The sequence below is a fragment of the Homo sapiens genome, chromosome 10 (genome assembly GCF_000001405.40).
Source record: "Homo sapiens chromosome 10, GRCh38.p14 Primary Assembly".
Lineage (NCBI taxonomy): Eukaryota > Metazoa > Chordata > Mammalia > Primates > Hominidae > Homo > Homo sapiens.
The window spans coordinates 102,053,056-102,071,485 of NC_000010.11; the positions used below are offsets into that span (position 1 = coordinate 102,053,056).

The following is an 18,430-nucleotide window of genomic DNA, read 5'->3' on the forward strand; positions in this document are numbered from 1 at the left end:
CAGTATTTCCAAAATCCCCTCCTCTTCATTCCCACAGCTACACTTTCTTCAGACTCTCAGTCAATTGCAACAACTCTAATTAGTCTCACTGCCTCATTCTTCATTACTTTAATCTGCATTTCTGTCACTCCCTAACTTAAAAAAAACTCCTCAGAAGCTAAAAAAAAAAAAAAAAAAAAAAAAAGAGAAAAAAATTCCAATGACTCCCCACTTTCTTTTCAGTCTCACCTCCTAGCAGTTTCCCCACCACACATCCTGTTTGGGACAAATTTCTGAGATTTAAAATAATTTTTTTTCCTCTCACATCCTCACCAAGCCTTTGCAAGTACTGTTCTCTCCAAATGAAATGCCTTTTCTTTTTCAGAGATGGGGTCTCGCCATGTTGAGCCAGCTCGTCTCAAACTCCTGGGCTCAGGCAATCTACCTGCCTAGGCCTCCCAAAGTGCTAGGATTACAGGTATAAGCCACCAGGCCGAGTAAAAATGCCTTTTCTTACTTGTGCAATCTCCTACTCATCCTTCAACACCCAACTCAAGTATCTCCCCCCTGCAAAGATTTCCCTGACTCTCCCAAGCAATGGCAGTATTCCCATTACACTGTATAAATTTTTTTTTTTTTTTTTGAGAGGGAGTCTCGCTCTGTCGCCCAGGCTGGAGTGCAGTGGCACCATCCCGGCTCACTGCAAGCTCCGCCTCCTGGGTTCATGCCATTCTCCTGCCTCAGCCTCCTAGTAGCTGGCACTACAGGCGCCCGCCACCACACCCGGCTAATTTTTTGTATTTTTAGTAGAGACGGGGTTTCACCATGTTAGCCAGGATGGTCTTGATCTCCTGACCTTGTGATCCGCCGGCCTCCGCCTCCCAAAGTTACATAGTAAGTGCTCAATAAATGTGTTGAATAAACAGTTCACCCTTATATATCCTGGATCAATTTTTGGCCATTTTCCCCAAATGTTACAGATTCCTAAACTGTGCTCAGTGTGAGATTCCAAATTTCATAATGACTGCTTTGAGGTTTTCACCTTGTTTTAATTATCCAAATGTTGAACAAGTCGGCTGGGGGCAGTGACTCACTCCTGTAATCCCAGCACTTTGGGAGGCTGAGACGGGTGGATCACGAGGTCAGGAGTTGGAGACCAGCCTGGCCAATATGGTGAAACTCCGTCATTACTAAAAACACAAAAATTAGCCAGGCATGGTGGTGCGCGCCTGTAGTCACAGCTACTCAGAAGGCTAAGGCAGAAGAATCGCTGGAACCCGAGAGACGGAGGTTGCAGTGAGCCAAGATCATGCCACTGCACTCCAGCCTGGGCGACAGAGCGAGACTCCGTCTCAAAAAAAAAAAAAAAAAGTTGAACAATAAATTGTAATACCTAAAAGTCCAATGAAAACACCTTAAAGGCTTCTCTAGTCACTGAAATGGGTATTCCCCCTTTACAGTCGTAACAAGAGGGATCCCTCTTTCCCTTGACTGTGATCTGATATCCTGAAAGTCTTCACACAGAAGCTATTGTGCACACAAATCCAACTTAAGGTACACCCAAAATAATTCCAATCCTGCTAAGTTACGGGCAGGGACACAAATCATATTTACCCTAGTTTACAAAGCAACTAAAGGATAGCAAAGAAAAAGCTCTCACTAAGCTCAAAACTTTTTCTGGCCGGGCGCAGTGGCTCACACCTGTAATCCGAACACTTTGGGAGATCGAGGTGGGTGAATCATCTGAGGTCAGAAGTTTGAGACCAGCCTGGCCAACATGGCGAAACCCTGTCTCTACTAAAAATACAAAAATTAGCCGGGCGTGGTAGCTCACGTCTGTAATCCCAGCTGCTTGGGGGGCTGACGGGGAAGAATCGCTCGAACCTGGAAGGCGGAGGTTGCAGTGAGCCGAGATCACGCCATTGCACTCCAGCCTGGGCAACGAGAGCGAAACTCCGTCTCAAAAAAACAAAAAACAAAACAAACAAACAAACAAAAAAAAAAAGGCCGGGCGCGGTGGCTCACGCCTTTAATCACAGCACTTTGGGAGGCCGAGGCGGGCGGATCACCTGAGGTTGGGAGTTCGAGACCAGCCTGACCAACATGGAGAAATCCCGTCTCTATCAAAAATATAAAATTAGCTGGGCGTGGTAGCGCAAGGCTGAGGCAGGAGAATCGCTTGAACCCCGGAGGCAGAGGTTGTGGTAAGCCGAGATCGGGCAACTGCACTCCAGACTGGGCGACAACAGCGAAACTCCATCTCAAAATAAATAAATAAATAAATAAATAAATAAAATAAAATAAAAAACTTTCTGGAGAGGAAGAACTGCGGAGGGTCGGATGATCCAGTGACATACATTTGGGTATGGCCCAAGTTTCTGCTTCCCCATTCGCCAGGGGCAGCACGCCTCAGCTTCTCCTTCTCCAGGGGACCAGGTTTCTCTCTACTTTTTCCTTCCCTATACCCTCCTGGGAACAGGTTCCTTTCCTGGGCTCTCGCCGAGTAACCCAAAGAAAACACAGTAGCTTCACTGATTCCGTGTGAAGAGTGGGTTAAAGCCTGTCAGAGCCTGGAGAGGGACAGGACTGGAGCCCTTCCGGGACACCTGAAGACTTCGCACAAACCCGCTTTCCTCTATCCCTGAGATTCTCAGAGGTGCCTTGCCCTACGCCCGCACCCCAGGACCAAGAACAGCAGGAGAGGAAGCTCTCGGGGCAGCTGGCGGGGTCAAAGGTCAGCACCTCGGAAGCCAGAAGGCCCCGCAGGGATGCGGGAGAGGGACGTGACCGGGACCGTGTGGTCCGAGGGACCGGCCGCTGGAAGAGCGAAGCCGTTTCTCTCTAGGCTCGGCCGCCCCCAGGCCCAGCCCTCCCCGGCATACGCAGCTTCAGCAGCCGTCCTCCCTCCCTCTCCCCTCGCGTCCTCGTCGTCCCCGCGGCCAGCGCAGGCCCCGCCCCCAGAACCGCCTCGGGGCCAAGGCCTAGTATGGCAGGACCCGCAGGGTTGGTCAGGTTCGAGGACCGGGCCGGGCCTGGCCGCCGCCGCTTACCGAGCCCGCGGCTCCTCCTCTACCACCCGCGCCGTTCCCGGGCCCGCTCGCTCTCGACGCCACCGACGCTGCCGCTGCTCCGGGCTCACGGGCGCGCTCCCGACCTCCCCGACCCTTCCCGTGTCCCCGCGCCCCGCCGGGTCCTAAAGCCCGGCGCGCAATGGGTTAGTCCACGCCCGCTTCCTGAGACCGGCTCAGACCACGATTCCCAGCAAGCATCGCAAAGACTACAACTCCCGAAAGGCATCGCGAGAAATAAATTCGCAGTGGACTTGTCTATTGAGGGCCTACTGGGTCGCAATAGCAGTTTTCCGAAACATGGCCGACTCTTTGACCTCAGCAATTTTACTTCTAGGAATACATGTATCCTCTAGAAATACTGGCGAAGTTTGGAAAGATATATTTTCCAAATGTGTATTACAACTTTGTACGTGAAAGATTGAAAACAAACTCATTCTTTCAACAAATACGTGTGTGCCTGATAAGTGCAAAGTAGCGTGTAAAGCTCTATTAACTTGGCCAGAAATCTATTTTCTTTTCTTTTCCTTTTTTTTTTTTTTGAGACAGGATCTTGCCCTTGCCCAGGCTGGAGTGCCGCAGTGGCACAATTACAGCTCAGTGCAGCCTCCACCTCCTAGGCTCAAGCAGTCCTCCTGCCTCTGCCTCTGGTAGCTGGGATTACAGGCACGTGCCACCACTCCCTGCCTCTGAGTCTTTGTTTTCTTTTTTTTTTTTTTTTTCGAGATGGTGTCTCACTCTATTGCCCAGGCTGGAGTGCAGTGGTGCGATCTCGGCTCACTGCAACCTCTGCCTCCCGGGTTCAAGAGAGTCTCCTGCCTCAGCCTCCCCAGTAGCTGGGATTACAGGAGTGTACCACCACGCCCGGCTAATTTTTGTATTTTTTAGTAGAGACAAGGTTTCACCATGTTGCCAGGCTGGTCTCAAGCTCCTGGCCTCAGGTGATCCACCCGCCTCTGCCTCCCAAAATGCTGGGATTACAGGCGTGAGCCACCGCACCCAGCCTGAGTCTCTGTTTTTTTATACACAAATGGAAGGTTTAAAAAGATGTGCTATAACAGCAAGAATACTATTAAAAAGAAAAAACAAGTAAAAAAAATAAAATAAGCCAGGCGCGGTGGCTCACACCTGTAATCCCAACACTTTGGAAGGCAAAGGCGGGTGGATCACCTGAGGTCAGGAGTTCGAGACCAGCCTGGCCAACATGGTGAAACCCCATCTCTACTAAAAATACAAAAAATGGCCGGGCGTGTTGGCAGTCCTCTGTAATCCCAGCTACTCGGGAGGCTGAGGCAGGAGAATCGCTTGAACCTGGGAGGCGAAGGTTGCAGTGAGCCAAGATCGCGCCATCGCACTCCAACCTGGGCGACAGAGCGAGACTCCGTCTCAAAACAAAAAAGAAGTGGAGAAGAGTTCTGTGGGCGGCAAGCCACCCAGGTGCCGAGTCAAGAGACCGAAGACACAAGCTGTTCCAGTATAATAAAGAAAATAATTAAAATAAGAATAGCTATATTAGAAATAGAATATAGATGTGATTATATATGAATATTAGTAATCATTAGTTTGTAGCATTACTTTTATTAATAACTTATATTTTACAATTATAATTTAGGAAAACCAGGCCATACAGAGTTAGGAGCTGAAGGGACACGGTGAGAAGTGACCAGAAGGCAAGAGTGTGAGCCCTCTGTCACGCCCAGACAGGGCCACTAGAGGACTCCTTGGTCTAGCGGTAATGCCAGTGCCTAAGAAGGCACCCGTTACTTAGCAGACCTTGGACTAGCCATAGCGCCAGTGCCTGGGAAGGCACCTGTTACTTAGCAGACGGGCCTTTCCCTGAGGAAGTTAGAGAACACTCTGCTTCACCACCTCTTGTTGGAAGCCTGACATCAGCCAGGCCTACCCGCAGCCAACCGGAGGCTTAAACCTCTCCGAGATGCTGTGCTTCAGCGGTCACGCTCCTGGTTCACTTTCCTGTTCCGCTCTGTACCTAGATAGCAGTAGCAGAACTAGTAAAAGTATTAAAGTCTTTGATCTTTCTGAGAAATGCACAGAAGAAATAATGACGTAAGCTGTCCCCTCTCTCTCTGCTTCGGCTACCAAATAGGGAAGGGCCCCCTGTCCGGCAGACACGTGACTTGTGTAACCTTACCTATCATTGGAGATGACTCACACTCCTTACCCTGCCCCCTTGCCTTGTACACAATAAATAGCAGCGTGGCCAGGCATTCGGGGCCACTACCAGTCTCTGCGTCTTGGTGGTAGTGGTCCCCCGGGCCCAGCTGTCTTTTCTTCTCTTTGTCTTGTGTCTTTATTTCTACCATCTCTCGTCTCCACACACGAAGAGAAAACCCACAGGCCCTGTAGGGCTAGACCCTACAGAGTTCAAACCCAGATCTGTCAGGAAAGACCTCTCAATCCAGAAGTTCAGGTTCTACCTTGGTAGAGTTTTATTTTTCTCGTCTACTTACACAGCAGTGTAAGACATGATTGGCTGTTAAAAAAATTAAAGCGGGCCGGGCGCGGTGGCTCACGCCTGTAATCCCAGCACTTTGGGAGGCCGAGGCGGGCGGATCACGAGGCCAGGAGATCGAGACCATCCTGGCTAAAACGGTGAAACCCCATCTCTACTAAAAATACAAAAAATTAGCCGGGCGTGGTGGTGGGCGCCTGTAGTCCCAGCTACTTGGGAGGCTGAGGCAGGAGAATGGCGTGAACCCAGGAGGCGGAGCTTGCAGTGAGCCGAGATGGTGCCACTGCACTCCAACCTGGGCAACAGAGCGAGACTCCCTCTCAAAAAAAAAAAAAAAAAATTAAAGCTGTACTCTAATAGAATATAAAAGAGTGGGCAGGGGCAAGAGAAAGGTATCATGAGGTGAACCCCAATAGTTCTTGAATACCAGTTAGAAGCCTGTGTTCAGCTAAAAGAACCCTGTTCTATACCTGATTTTTTGTTTTGAGATGGAGCCTCACTCTATTGCCCAAGCTGAAGCGCAATGGCACCATCTTGGCTCACTGCAACCTCCGCCTCCTAGGTTCAAGCAATTCTCCCTCAGCCTCCCAAGTAGCTGGCATTATAGGCATGTGCCACCACGCCCAGCTAGTTTTTGTATTTTTAGTAGAGGCGGGGTTTCTTCATGTTGGTCAGGCTAGTCTCGAACTCCTGACTTCAGGTGATCCACCCATCTCGGCCTCCCAAAGTGCTGGGGTTACAGGCCCGGGCCACCATGCCCGGGCGTATCTGATTTCTTTTTAACAAAATTATTTTTCTGGCATGCTGCCGTGGCTCATGCCTGTAATCCCAGCTGTAATTACAGCAATTACATGCCTGTAATCTTTGGGAGGTCAAGGCAGGAGGACTGCTTGAGCTCAGGAGTTTGAGACCAGCTCGGGAAATATAATGAGATCTCATCTCTACTAAAAATTTAAAAAATTAGCTGAGTGCACCTATAGTCCCAGCTACTTGGGAGGCTGAGGTTGGAGGATCGCTTGAGCCTGGGAGGTAGAGGCTAGAGTGAACCACTGCACTCCAGCCTGGGCAACTGAGTGAGACCCTGTCTCAAATAAAATAAAATAAAATAAACAACACTTTTCCCCGTGGCACCTACTGAATATCCAATCCTGGGAGCAGTAAAAAGAAAAATAGCAATTCTGAGAGTATATTGTAACAAAGTGATAGGTACAGAGATAGAGATATACACAATTAAATGTTTTAAATCTCAATGAATACAAGCTGGAATACAAAGGCTGAAGTTGTAAATGCCTTGAAAATTCAGAGAAGGGAAAATGTCATGTGAATCTCCAGAGGCTTTCTGAGAAAGGTGAAGATTGAGTCAAGCGTTAGAGGAGAGGAGAAAAAGAAAGAAGGTATGAGAATGAAGCAGCACAATACATTGCCCACATCTATGCCAGGGAAGTCAATTTCATACAGATGCAGACTAGAATAAATATAGAAGGCCATATACTGAGTAGGTAAGAGCACTACCTCTGGAAAACTATGAGAAGGGATCCCAGATCTGCTACCCACTAACTCTAAGACTGAGCAATTACTTGAGCTCTCTGAGACTTAGTTTCCTCATCTAGAAAATGGGGATAACAAAAACCCTATGTCATATTGTTTAGGTTATTCAGCATTGAATTCTTCCTCCTTTATTCTGGAAGATTCCTCCTTGGGCATAGTCTCAATGGAAAACTATGCCCTGGGCAACCAAGATAAGTGAGGGCATGTGACCTGGGTTCAGACACTAGGTGCAGCTTTCAAGGGCTTTATTTCTTTTTTCTTTTTTTTTTCTTTTTTTTTTTTGAGACGGAGTCTTGCTCTGTCACCCAGGCTGGAGTGCAGTGGCACAATTTCAACTCACTGCAAGCTCCACCTCCTCAGTTCACACCATTCTCCTGCCTCAGCCTCCCGAGTAGCTGGGACTACAGGCACCCACCACCACGCCTGGCTAATTTTTTGTATTTTTAGTAGAGACGGGGTTTCACCATGTTAGCCAGGATGGTCTCAATCTCCTGACCTCGTGATCCACCTGCCTCGGCCTCCCAAAGTGCTGGGATTACAGGTATGAGCCAATGCACCTGGCACTTAGTTCTTCATCAAGAGATGTGGGCTGGGTGCGGTGGCTCACGACTGTAATCCCAGCACTGTGGGAGGCCAAGGCAGGTGGATCACCAGGTCAGGAGATCGAGCCCATCCTGGCAAACACGGTGAAACTCCGTCTCTACTAAAAATACAAAAAATTAGCCAGGTGTGGTGGCATGCAACTGTAGTCCCAGCTACTCGGGAGGCTGAGGCAGGAGAATAGCTTGAACCCGGGAGGCAGAGGTTGCAGTGAGCCAAAATCGCGCCACTGCACTCCAGCCTGGGTGACAATGAGACTCCCTGTCAAAAAAAAAAAAAGAGAGAGAAAGAGAATGAGAGAGAGAGAGAGTGCAGTGGCCCACGCCTGTAATCCTAGCACTTTGGGAGGCCAAGACCGGTGGATTACTTGAGGTCAGGAGTTCGAGGCCAGCCTGGCCAACATGGGGAAACCCTCTCTCTACTAAAAAAATATACATATACAAAAATTAGCCGGGCATGGTGGCAGGTGCCTGTACTCGGGAAGCTGAGGCAGGAGAGTCGCTTGAACCCAGGAGGCGGAGGTTGCAGTGAGTAGAGATCGTGCCACTGCACTCCAGCCTAGGCAACAGAGCAAGAGCCCATCTCAAAAAAAAAAAAAAAAAGACAGAGAGAGAGAGATGTAAAGTTAGTGAGAAGTGGAGAAGGGTTTGAATCCAGATCTATTAGGAAACACCTCTTAACACAGAAGTTCAGGTTCTTCCTTGGTAGAGTTTTATTTTTCTTGTCTACTTACACAATAGTATAAGACATGATTGGCCTGGGGCGGGGGCTTATGCCTGTAATCCCAGCACTTTGGGAAGCCGAGGCGGGTGGATCACCTGAGGTCAGGAGTTCGAGACCAGCCTGGCCAAGATGGTGAAACCCTGTCTCTACTAAAACTACAAAAATTAGCCAGGCACAGTGGTGGGCGCCTGTAATCCCAGCTACTTGGGAGGCTAAGGCAGGAGAATCGCTTGAACCTGGGAGGCGGAGGTTGCAGTGAGCTGACATCGCACCACTGCACTCTAGCCTGGGTGACAGAGCAAGACTCCGTCTCAAAAAAAAAAAAAAAAAAGAAAAAGAAAGACATGATTAGCAGGGGTTTTTTTGGTTTGTTTTTTTTTTTTTCTGAGACACAATTTCGCTCTTGTTGTCCAGGCTGGAGTGCAATGGCGTGACTTCGGCTCACGGCAACCTCCGCCTCCTGGGTTCAAGCGATTCTCCTGCCTCAGCCTCCTGAGTAGCTAGGATTACGGGCATGCACCACCACGCTGGGCTAATTTTGTACTTTTAGTGGAGACAGGGTTTCTCCATGTTAGTCAGGCTGGTCTAGAACTCCCGAACTCAGGTGATCCGCCTGCCTCAGCCCCCCAAAGTGCTGGGACTACAGGTGTGAGCTACCGCACCCAGCCAATTTGCAGTTTTTTAAAAAAATCAAAGTTGTACCCTAATAGAATATAAAAAAGTAGGCAGGTGTAAGAGAAAGGTGTAATGAGGTGAACCCCAATAGAAGGTATGATCAGAATTTATTCATAACAGGTGCTGTCTTCCAGTGCAGTGATCAGCTTGTATAGCACCAGAGATCATGGTATCTTTAACAAATTGTTCCGGCTAAAAAAACAGTTGTGGCCAGGCACAGTGGCTCATACCTGTAATCCCAGCACTTTGGGAGGCCGAGGCAGGTGGATCACCTGAGGCCAGGACCTTCAAGACCAGCCTGGCCAACATGGCAAAACCCCGTCTCTACAAAAAATACAAAAATTAGCAGGGCATGGTGGTGTGCACCTGTGATACCAGCTACTCGGGAGGCTGAGGTGGAAGAATTGCTTGATCCCAGGAGGCAGAGGTTGCAGTGAGCCAAGATTGTGCCACTGCACTCCAGCCTGGGGAGACAGCAAGACTCTGTCTAAAAAAAAAAAAAAAAAAGTCGTGCTTCCTACTTCTTAGTATTTGGTGGGTGTGGGTGTCTTGGTTCATGACCATTTGCCACACCTGTTCTTCCTTTCTCCTGAAGATTCTGTGAGTCCCCTATGTTCTTCTAAATAACTTCATTTTTGCTTAAGACAGCCATGGTCTGTTTCTGTAATTTTTTTTTTTAAAGAGACAGGATGCTTGCCATGTTGCCCAGGCTGTAGTGCAGTGGCTATTCACAGGCACAATCATTGCACACCACAGACTCCAACTCCTGGCCTCAAGTAATCCTCTTGCCTCAGCCTCCTGAGTAGCTGGAACTGCATGCGTGAACCACCGTGCCTGGCCTACTTCTGTAATTTTTAAGGAAAAGTTTTCTAAGTGATATCACACACACAAACATGTGCCCATGAAAACGTAATGATTCCTTCACCAAACATCTGTGGAGACTTTGTGTCAGGCTCTACTCTAAATATGAGGATAGGATACAAAAACAAAAGAAATCTATGTCAACTAAGAGCAACTGAAGGAGGAGCAGTTTGGGGCAGGAAGATGATGTTTAGGACATGTTGAGAATGAAATGTCTGTGAGATGAGACATCTTAGGCAGAAATAAATATTTAGTAGACATTTGGATGCTCTTTTTTTGTGTGGAGCTTAGCAGAGACGTCTGAGCTGTAGGCAAAAGAAAAAAATAAAGGGGCTCAAAGTGGAATCAGGATATAGGAGGAAGAGCACATTTAAAGGATGATGGAGGGGCCGGGTACAGTGGCTCACACCTGTAATTCTAACATTTTGAGAGGCTAAGGCGGGCAGATCACTTGAGGCCTGGAGTTCGAGACCAGCCTGGCCAACCAACATAGCAAAACCCGACCTCTACTAAAAATATAAAAAGTAGCTGGGCATGGTGGTGCACTTCTGAAATCCCAGCTACTAGGGAGGGAGGCTTAGGCAGGAGAATCGCTTGAACCTGGGACATGGAGATAGCAGTGAGCCGAGATTGCGCCACTGCACTTCAACCTGGGCAACGGAGCAAGACTCTGTCTCAATAAATAAATAAATAGGCCAGGCACGGTGGCTCATGCCTGTAATCCCAGCACTTTGGGAGGCCAAGGCATGTGGATCACGAGGTCAAGAGATCAAGACCATCCCGGCCAGCAAGGTGAAACCCTGTCTCTACTGAAAATACAAAAATTAGGTGGGCGTGGTGGTGGGTGCCTCTAATCCCAGCTACTCGGGAGGCTGGGCAGGAGAATCGCTTGAACCCAGGAGGCAGAGGTTGCACTGAGCCAAGATGGTGCCACTTCACTCAAACGTGGGCGACAGAGTGAGACTCTATCTCAATCAATCAATCAATAAAGGATGGAGGAAGATGAACCAAAGGCAAATAAAACTCTGAAGGCAGTGCTATCTAAAAATAAAAATAAAAAAATAAAATAAAATAAAAGGAAAGGAAAACCAGCCAGGAAAGATGCAGTGCAAACCACAGGAGGGACTTTCAATGAGAAGGCTGTCAAATAAAAATGTCCTTGAAGACCTCAGCAAAAGCTACTTCAGGGAAGTAGTGGGTTGAGGATAGAAGGAAAGAAAGTGGAGGTGGCAAATGTAGCATCCTTGCAAGAAAATTGACTGAGAAAGGAAAAGGGGAGGGAGTGATGGAGGTGGAAGTGGGGAGATGAGGATGAAAGAACGAATTCCAAGACAGGAGAGATGACAGGGTATTTCTATGCTGAGGACGGAATGAGGGCAGTGAAACAGAAATGGATGCAAGTTCTCAAGGAAGGTAGGGGCCGGGGAGGAGAGGCAGGGCTCATAAAGAGGGATTGGCCTTGGAGAGAGGAGGAAAACTGCTCACCTGAAAAGGCAGTCAAGGGGTGGAAGGACCCCTGCATACAAATTTGTAGGTGTTACTGAAGAGTCGGTACACAGGCTCAGTGCTTCTAAATTATGTTTCTCTGTTTTGGTTTGGGTGATGAGTTGTTGATATGATAAAGTGATTTGTTGCACTGACTCTGGAGCCAGAGTGCCTGTGGTTGAAATCCCACCTCCACCACTTAATACCTGCTTGATCTTAGTTAAGTTACGTAATCTCTCTGTGCTTCATCCTCCTTATCTGTAAAAGGGACTAGGGGATAGAGAAGGCTGTCACATAGTGATATGGAAGTGGTTTTCTTTCCTTCCTTCCTTCTCTCTCTCTCTCTTTCTTTCTTTCTGTCTTTTTAAAATTTTTATAGAGACAAGGTCTGCCTATGTTGCTCAGGCTGGTCTCGAACGCCTGGCCTCAAGCAATCCTCCCACCTCAGCCTCCCAAAGTGCTAAGATTATAGGCGTGAGCCACCGCGCCCAGCCATGTTTACTATTTCCACTAGATTGTCATCTCCATGAGGTTGAGGTTTTCTATTTTGTTTAGGGCTGTCTACTCAGAGCCTGGCACAAAGCATGTGCTCAACGAAAATTTCCTGAATGAGTAAATTGGGGTGAAATTCTTGGGAGAGGGGCTCAGGGGGCTGGAATCCCTATTCCTGCGTGGGACTCCGGGCCACTGGGCGGCGTCCTGGGGTCTGGGGAAGGGCCTCCCCCTGCGCCGAGAGCGTGCCCGGGCGGGCGCGGTCCAGGCGCTGAGCCCCTGGGGCGCTCCCGTGGCTCCTCCCCCGGCGGGCGTGTAGTGTCGGCCCAGCGACTGCGGGAGGCATCCCGGAGCCGGCCGGGCGGGGCGGAGTCGACGCTCGGCCCGGCCTCTGCTCACCTCATCCACGGGAGACGGAAGTCTTGGCCCTGCTCCGCTCCCCCGAGAATCGGGCCTCGCCCTGCTGGGCGGCTGGACCTGGGCAAAGCCTGGGCGCGCTCCCGCGCAGCGGCGCCATGAAGCGCTCGGGGACTCTGCGGCTGCTCTCGGACCTGAGCGCCTTCGGCGGCGCGGCGCGGCTCCGGGAGCTGGTGGCCGGGGACTCAGCGGTCCGAGTCCGTGGCAGTCCGGACGGCCGCCACTTGCTGCTCCTGCGACCCCCTGGGGCGGTAGCCCCACAGCTGCTAGTCGCGTCGCGAGGGCCCGGCGCGGAGCTAGAGCGGGCCTGGCCGGCCGGCCAGCCCTCCCCGCTGGACGCCTTCTTCCTGCCGTGGCCAGCGCGGCCGGCGCTGGTGCTGGTGTGGGAGAGTGGCCTGGCCGAGGTGTGGGGCGCGGGCGTGGGGCCTGGCTGGCGGCCGCTGCAGAGCACCGAGCTGTGTCCGGGCGGGGGAGCCCGCGTTGTGGCAGTGGCGGCGCTCCGAGGCCGCCTGGTGTGGTGCGAGGAGCGGCAGGCCCGGGCCGAGGGCCCGTCAGGGTCGCCAGCAGCCGCTTTCAGCCACTGTGTGTGCGTCCGGACTCTGGAGCCCAGCGGGGAAGCTAGCACCAGCCTGGGCCGCACACACGTCCTGCTGCACCACTGCCCTGCCTTCGGGCTGCTGGCCTCCTGCAGACAACTCTTCCTGGTGCCCACTGCCACCACCTGGCCTGGCGTGGCCCACGTTCTACTCATCTGGAGCCCAGGCAAGGGCAAAGTGATGGTGGCTGCCCCACGGCTTGGTCTCTCCTACAGTAAGAGTCTGAATCCTGGACGAGGGGACACATGGGACTTCCGGACCCTGCTCCGAGGCCTTCCTGGGTTGCTGTCCCCCAGGGAGCCACTGGCTGTACACACCTGGGCCCCAACTCCCCAGGGCCTGCTGTTGCTTGACTTCGGGGGCACTGTGAGCCTATTGCAGTCCCACGGTGGTACGCGGGCTGTGGGCACCCTGCAGGAGGCACCTGTAGGCCCGTGGGGGTCTGCAGCCCTAGGCACATTTCAGGGCACTCTGGCCTGTGTGCTGGGCTCCACATTGGAACTGCTGGACATGGGCAGTGGGCAGCTGCTGGAGAGGAAGGTCCTAAGTACAGACAGGGTACATCTGCTAGAACCGCCAGCCCCCGGCATGGAGGATGAGGAAGAGCTGGAGACCCGAGGGAATCTTCGTCTGCTTTCAGCCTTGGGTCTGTTTTGTGTGGGCTGGGAAGCCCCACAGGGTGTTGAGTTGCCTTCAGCCAAGGATCTGGTGTTTGAGGAGGCCTGCGGGTACTACCAGCGGCGGAGCCTGCGGGGTGCCCAGCTCACTCCAGAAGAACTGAGACACAGCAGCACATTCCGGGCACCTCAGGCTCTGGCCTCCATCCTCCAGGGCCACCTGCCCCCATCTGCACTGCTGACCATGTTGAGGACCGAGCTTCGGGATTACCGAGGCTTAGAACAGCTGAAGGCCCAGCTGGTGGCTGGGGATGATGAGGAGGCTGGTTGGACTGAGCTGGCGGAGCAGGAAGTGGCACGCCTGCTGAGGACTGAGTTGATAGGAGACCAGCTAGCCCAGCTCAACACCGTTTTCCAAGCCCTTCCTACAGCAGCCTGGGGTGCCACCCTCAGGGCCCTGCAGCTCCAGCTAGATGGGAATGGCAAGCTGAGGTCCCAAGCACCCCCTGATGTGTGGAAGAAAGTGTTAGGGGGAATAACCGCTGGAAAGGAACCCCCCAATGGAATACTGCCCCCCTTTGAACTCCTGTGCCAGTGTCTGTGCCAGCTGGAGCCTCGATGGCTGCCACCCTTTGTGGAGCTGGCACAGCAGCAGGGCGGGCCGGGCTGGGGGGCAGGGGGCCCAGGACTGCCCCTGTATCGCCGAGCTCTGGCAGTGCTAGGTGAGGAGGGGACCAGGCCTGAGGCTCTGGAGCTAGAGCTGCTCTTGAGCAGTGGGCGGCCTAAAGCTGTGCTCCAAGCTGTCGGGCAGCTGGTGCAAAAGGAACAATGGGATCGGGCTCTGGATGCTGGCCTGGCCCTCGGCCCCTCCAGTCCCCTGCTTCGAAGTGAAATCTTCAAACTGCTGCTGGCCGAGTTTGCCCAGCACCGCCGGCTTGATGCTCACCTCCCCCTCCTTTGCCGCCTGTGCCCACCAGAACTGGCTCCAGCTGAGCTCCTGCTTCTACTGAGGACATACCTCCCAGATGAGGTGGGGCCCCCAACCCCATTCCCTGAGCCTGGAGCAGAGCCCCCTCTCACTGTGGGCTTGCTCAAAGCCCTGCTGGAGCAGACTGGGGCTCAAGGATGGCTGTCGGGCCCAGTTCTAAGCCCATATGAGGACATCCTATGGGACCCCAGCACTCCACCCCCGACTCCACCTCGGGACCTATGACTACCCTTCAGGCATCAGAACACTCAGGGCCTGGAGGCTTGCTTGGGACTGGAGGCTTGCTTGGACAGTTCCTCTGTGTCACTGACACAGGAAATCATTTCTAGGACACAGTGATCAGGGAAGGGTGCCTGGGACTTGGAGGGTCCCATGTATGGACCTGTGTATGCAATACTGTTCTGTCATCTGGAGCTATTTTTAAGATGTGTGTGTTAAATATATACATAGTTTAATATATACACAGTTGTGTGTTTTTAAACAGGTACAGGTCTCAGAGGATGCAGGTTATAGAGGGAGTGGTTGGATCTGGATCTTTTGGCTAAAGTCCCCACTTCCAATCATGAAAATAGTTAACATTTATGAGCATTTAATAGAAGCCAGGCATTCTACTCATCTTTATATAATCCCTCAGCTAGCTTCTCATAACCCCAGTGGGGAAAGTACTGATGTTATTCCCATTTTACAGGAAATAGAAGTTTAGAAAAATTAAATGACTTGACCAAGTTCATTTGGCTAGAAAGTAGCACCTCAAAGATTGGAGCCACCTCACTGAACAGCCCAGTAGCTCCCACCTGCTTGGGCTTGGATGTACTCCCCATCCCTGGCTCCATGCCAGCTTCCCTGGCCTGCTAAGAGGAGGAGGACTACAGAGCTCCACCCTTCCTTTCCCCAGGACTCCTCTGCTCCGGAGTAGGAACTTTACTGGGCCCTGGGTCCTTGCCTGTCTCCACCAGGATTTCTGAAGCAGCTTCTAGTTTAGGGGAAGATTTGCCACAGACAGGAGAGCTGCCTGCAGAGCTCTCTGGCTCAGTAACAAAATTCACTGGGAGCAGAGCTATCTGGAGAGCCCCATATTCCTGCTGACTCTCCCAAGTCAAGAAATAAGAGCGTCTGCAACACAGATCTCTGCTTGTCTGGATGTATTCAACAGGCTCAACTCTGAAGAGGCCTTTGCCCCATGCTCACTTCTACCCAAGTAACCCCTCAGCCTAGCGTAGGATAGACCCCTGGTTCTAGCTTAGGTTAGGACCCTGGATGCAGCTACTCAGCATCATCCGCAGTCCCAGATACCCCTTGTCCAGGGTTGGGGCCAAGGTTAGGGCTGCTGCTCAGCTTTGTCCTCAGCTGGGACCTGCAGCTTAGATTCTGGTAGCCTTAACCTGGGCTTAAGGTGGACTCAGGCTAGGACTAGTGAGACTAGGGACAGTTCCTGTCTCTCAGGGGAGAGAAGTAGCTTACTTAGTCTTATCTGTGGCTGGTGTTAACTCTTCAGCCTCATAGAGGTCCTGAGGTGGCTCATCTACATGGCCAAGTCCTGAGGTACCATCTTGGCCTCCTCCAGAACTTGGATGGCCCTTGTCCTGGCCCTCAAGCCAGGCTGCCTACCAATACCTGGAGTCAAGCTACTGTTCTTGCCAGAGGCCCAGGGGTAGGGACAGTTCCAGTCTTGGCCTCCACCTCAGCCCCTTCCTGGTCTGGAAGGAGTTCCTCTTCTTGGTCTTGAAACTGGGCTCATCATGGCTCCTCAATGGGAGGCTGCTTCCTGTTCATGATCCTGCTTAATCATTGTTGCTTCTCAAATCTCCCAAGCCTGAGATTTGGCTTGGTCCTCCTGTGCCCAGGAGAGAAGGAATTCTACTCAGTGGGCCCCTGGGGCATGGGTAAGAGAAGGAAGCCAGGTTTTTCATTAAGGTTGTATGGCTTAAGGAAGTTCCCTGGGACCACCCACTAGTAGGGCCTCCAGATGAAGGCCACCCAGCCCAGCAGCTCTGAGCAGAGCAGGTGGGCTTAGATGGTGACTTTTACCTGCTTTTACAGGCTCAGTGCTTGATCACACTAGCCTTATCCTTCCTTTCAATGTGGAGGGTGCAAGTGATCCCAGCTGCATCTCAGGACTTTGGAAGACAGCTCAGGGATGCAGGACTTTGGAAACAGCACAGGGATCACCGTGTGACTGAGTTTTAATGGAGTTCCTGAGAGGGTTATCAGACAGAGGTCTCTGAATAGGAGGGTGGAGATCTTAAGCCAAAGTCCTTGGCCTTGAGTACCTGAGAAAGGGGTAAGTTCTGGCATTGATGGGTTTCTTATTTATTTATTTATTTATTTAATTTAATTCTATTTTTTTTTTTTGAGACGAAGCTTCACTCTTGTCCAGGCTGGAGTGCAATGGTGCGATCTTGACTCACCACAATCTCCACCTCCCGGGTTCAAGCGATTCTCCTGCCTCAGCCTCCTGAGTAGCTGGGATTACAGGCATGCACCACCACACCCAGCTAATTTTGTATTTTTGGTAGAGATGGGGTTTCTCCATGTTGGTCAGGCTGCTCTCGAACTCCTGACCTCAGGTGATCCGTCCACCTTGGCCTCCCAAAGTGCTGGGATTACAGGCATGAGCCACCATGCCCAGCTTTTTGCTTCTGTTTTTAAGAGACAGGATCTTGCTATGTTGCCCAGCCTGGAGTGCAATGGCTTATGGGCTCAAGCCATCCTCCTGCCTCAGCCTCCTAAGTAGCTGGAACTACAGACACAGGCCACTATGCCTGGCTTGGTTGCCTTTTTTCTTTTCTTTTTTTTGAGACAATTTCTTGCTATGTTGCCCAGGCTGGACTTGAACCCCTGGACTCGAGCACTCCTCCTACCTCAGCCTCTCAAGTAGCTGGGATTTTAGGAACATGCCACCGCACCCAGCTGCTGAAGGTTTTGAGTGGTGAACAAGGTCTCAGATCCAAGGTCCACAGGCAGGACTGGAGTAGGGGGGTCTGAAGTCCCTGGGAAGGTGAGGGGAGGATCCTAAGCCAGTGGGCAGGAGCATTTCCATAGGTGTGCCTCACCTCAGGAGCTCTCTCAGGTTCACATGGCAGTAAAGCTAGGCACAAGGAGTACTGCACAGTAGTCCCAGCAAGCATCCTGGGTGAAGGCGAGGAAGCAGGGCGCAAGGCTCCTTCAACTGCCTATGTGGCCTCAGGGACCCAAGCCTCCCTTTTTCTTTCTTTTTTTAATTTTTTTTTTTTTTTTTTTTTTTTGAGACAGAGTCTCGCTCTGTCTCCCAGGCTGGAGTGCAGTGGCGCTATCTCACCTCACTGCAAGCTCCGCCTCCCAGGTTCACACCATTCTCCTACCTCAGCCTCCTGAGTAGCTAGGACCACAGGTGCCTGCCATCACTCTGGCTTTTTATTTTATTTTATTTTATTTTGTATTTTTAGTAGAGATGGGGTTTCACATGTTAGCCAGGGTGGTCTGGATCTCCTGACCTCGTGATCCGCCCACCCTGGCCTCCCAAAGTGCTGGGATTACAGGCATGAGCCACTGCGCCCGGCCTTTCTTTTCTTTTCTTTTTTTTTTTTTGGGGGGAGGGGATGGAGTCTTGCTCTGTCACCCAGGCTGGAGTGCAATGGCGCAATCTTAGCTCACTGCAACCTCCGCCTCCCGGGTTCAAGCGATTCTCCTTCCTTCCGAGTAGCTGGGACTACAGACGTGCACCACCATGCCCGGTTAATCTTTGTATTTTTAGTAGAGATGGATTTTCACTATGTTGCCCAGGCTGGTCTTGAACTCCTGACCTTGTGATCCGCCCGCCTTGGCCTCCCAAAGTGCTGGGATTACAGGCGTGAGCCACCGCACCCGGCCTATACTGGCTTTCTAATTGGCATCCCTGTCTCCTCAAATCTAACCTTGGTTACCGAGAG

General features: G+C 51.5%; 2 protein-coding genes across 20 annotated transcripts in view, besides 3 other annotated features; one reads left to right on the plus strand and one right to left on the minus strand.

Moving 5' to 3' along the window:
• Positions 1–3,118, minus strand: part of ARMH3 (armadillo like helical domain containing 3) — a 210,575-nt gene extending 207,457 nt beyond the window's left edge. For 17 of the 19 annotated variants that reach the window (XR_001747199.2, XR_007061987.1, XR_007061988.1 and 14 more), the window contains exon 1: positions 3,030–3,118. The gene's annotated coding sequence lies outside the window, so the exon portion shown is untranslated. Of the gene's footprint in view, positions 1–2,336 lie in introns of all 19 variants that reach the window. The other 2 variants (XM_047425734.1, XM_011540151.4) reach the window with 1 other exon arrangement.
• Positions 2,818–3,207: a silencer, noted in NCBI's record as "silent region_2737". NCBI's record gives its function as "represses an Ori minimal core promoter by ATAC-STARR-seq in GM12878 lymphoblastoid cells {active_cell/tissue: GM12878}" and the evidence as "EXISTENCE:reporter gene assay evidence [ECO:0000049][PMID:35858748]".
• Positions 11,786–11,835: an enhancer, noted in NCBI's record as "active region_3921". NCBI's record gives its function as "activates an Ori minimal core promoter by ATAC-STARR-seq in GM12878 lymphoblastoid cells {active_cell/tissue: GM12878}" and the evidence as "EXISTENCE:reporter gene assay evidence [ECO:0000049][PMID:35858748]".
• Positions 12,046–12,715: a silencer, noted in NCBI's record as "silent region_2738". NCBI's record gives its function as "represses an Ori minimal core promoter by ATAC-STARR-seq in GM12878 lymphoblastoid cells {active_cell/tissue: GM12878}" and the evidence as "EXISTENCE:reporter gene assay evidence [ECO:0000049][PMID:35858748]".
• Positions 12,294–14,981, plus strand: HPS6 (HPS6 biogenesis of lysosomal organelles complex 2 subunit 3). The gene has a single exon (NM_024747.6). The coding sequence runs from the start codon at positions 12,420–12,422 to the stop codon at positions 14,745–14,747; it is 2,328 nt and encodes a 775-aa protein (NP_079023.2). The 5' UTR covers positions 12,294–12,419; the 3' UTR covers positions 14,748–14,981.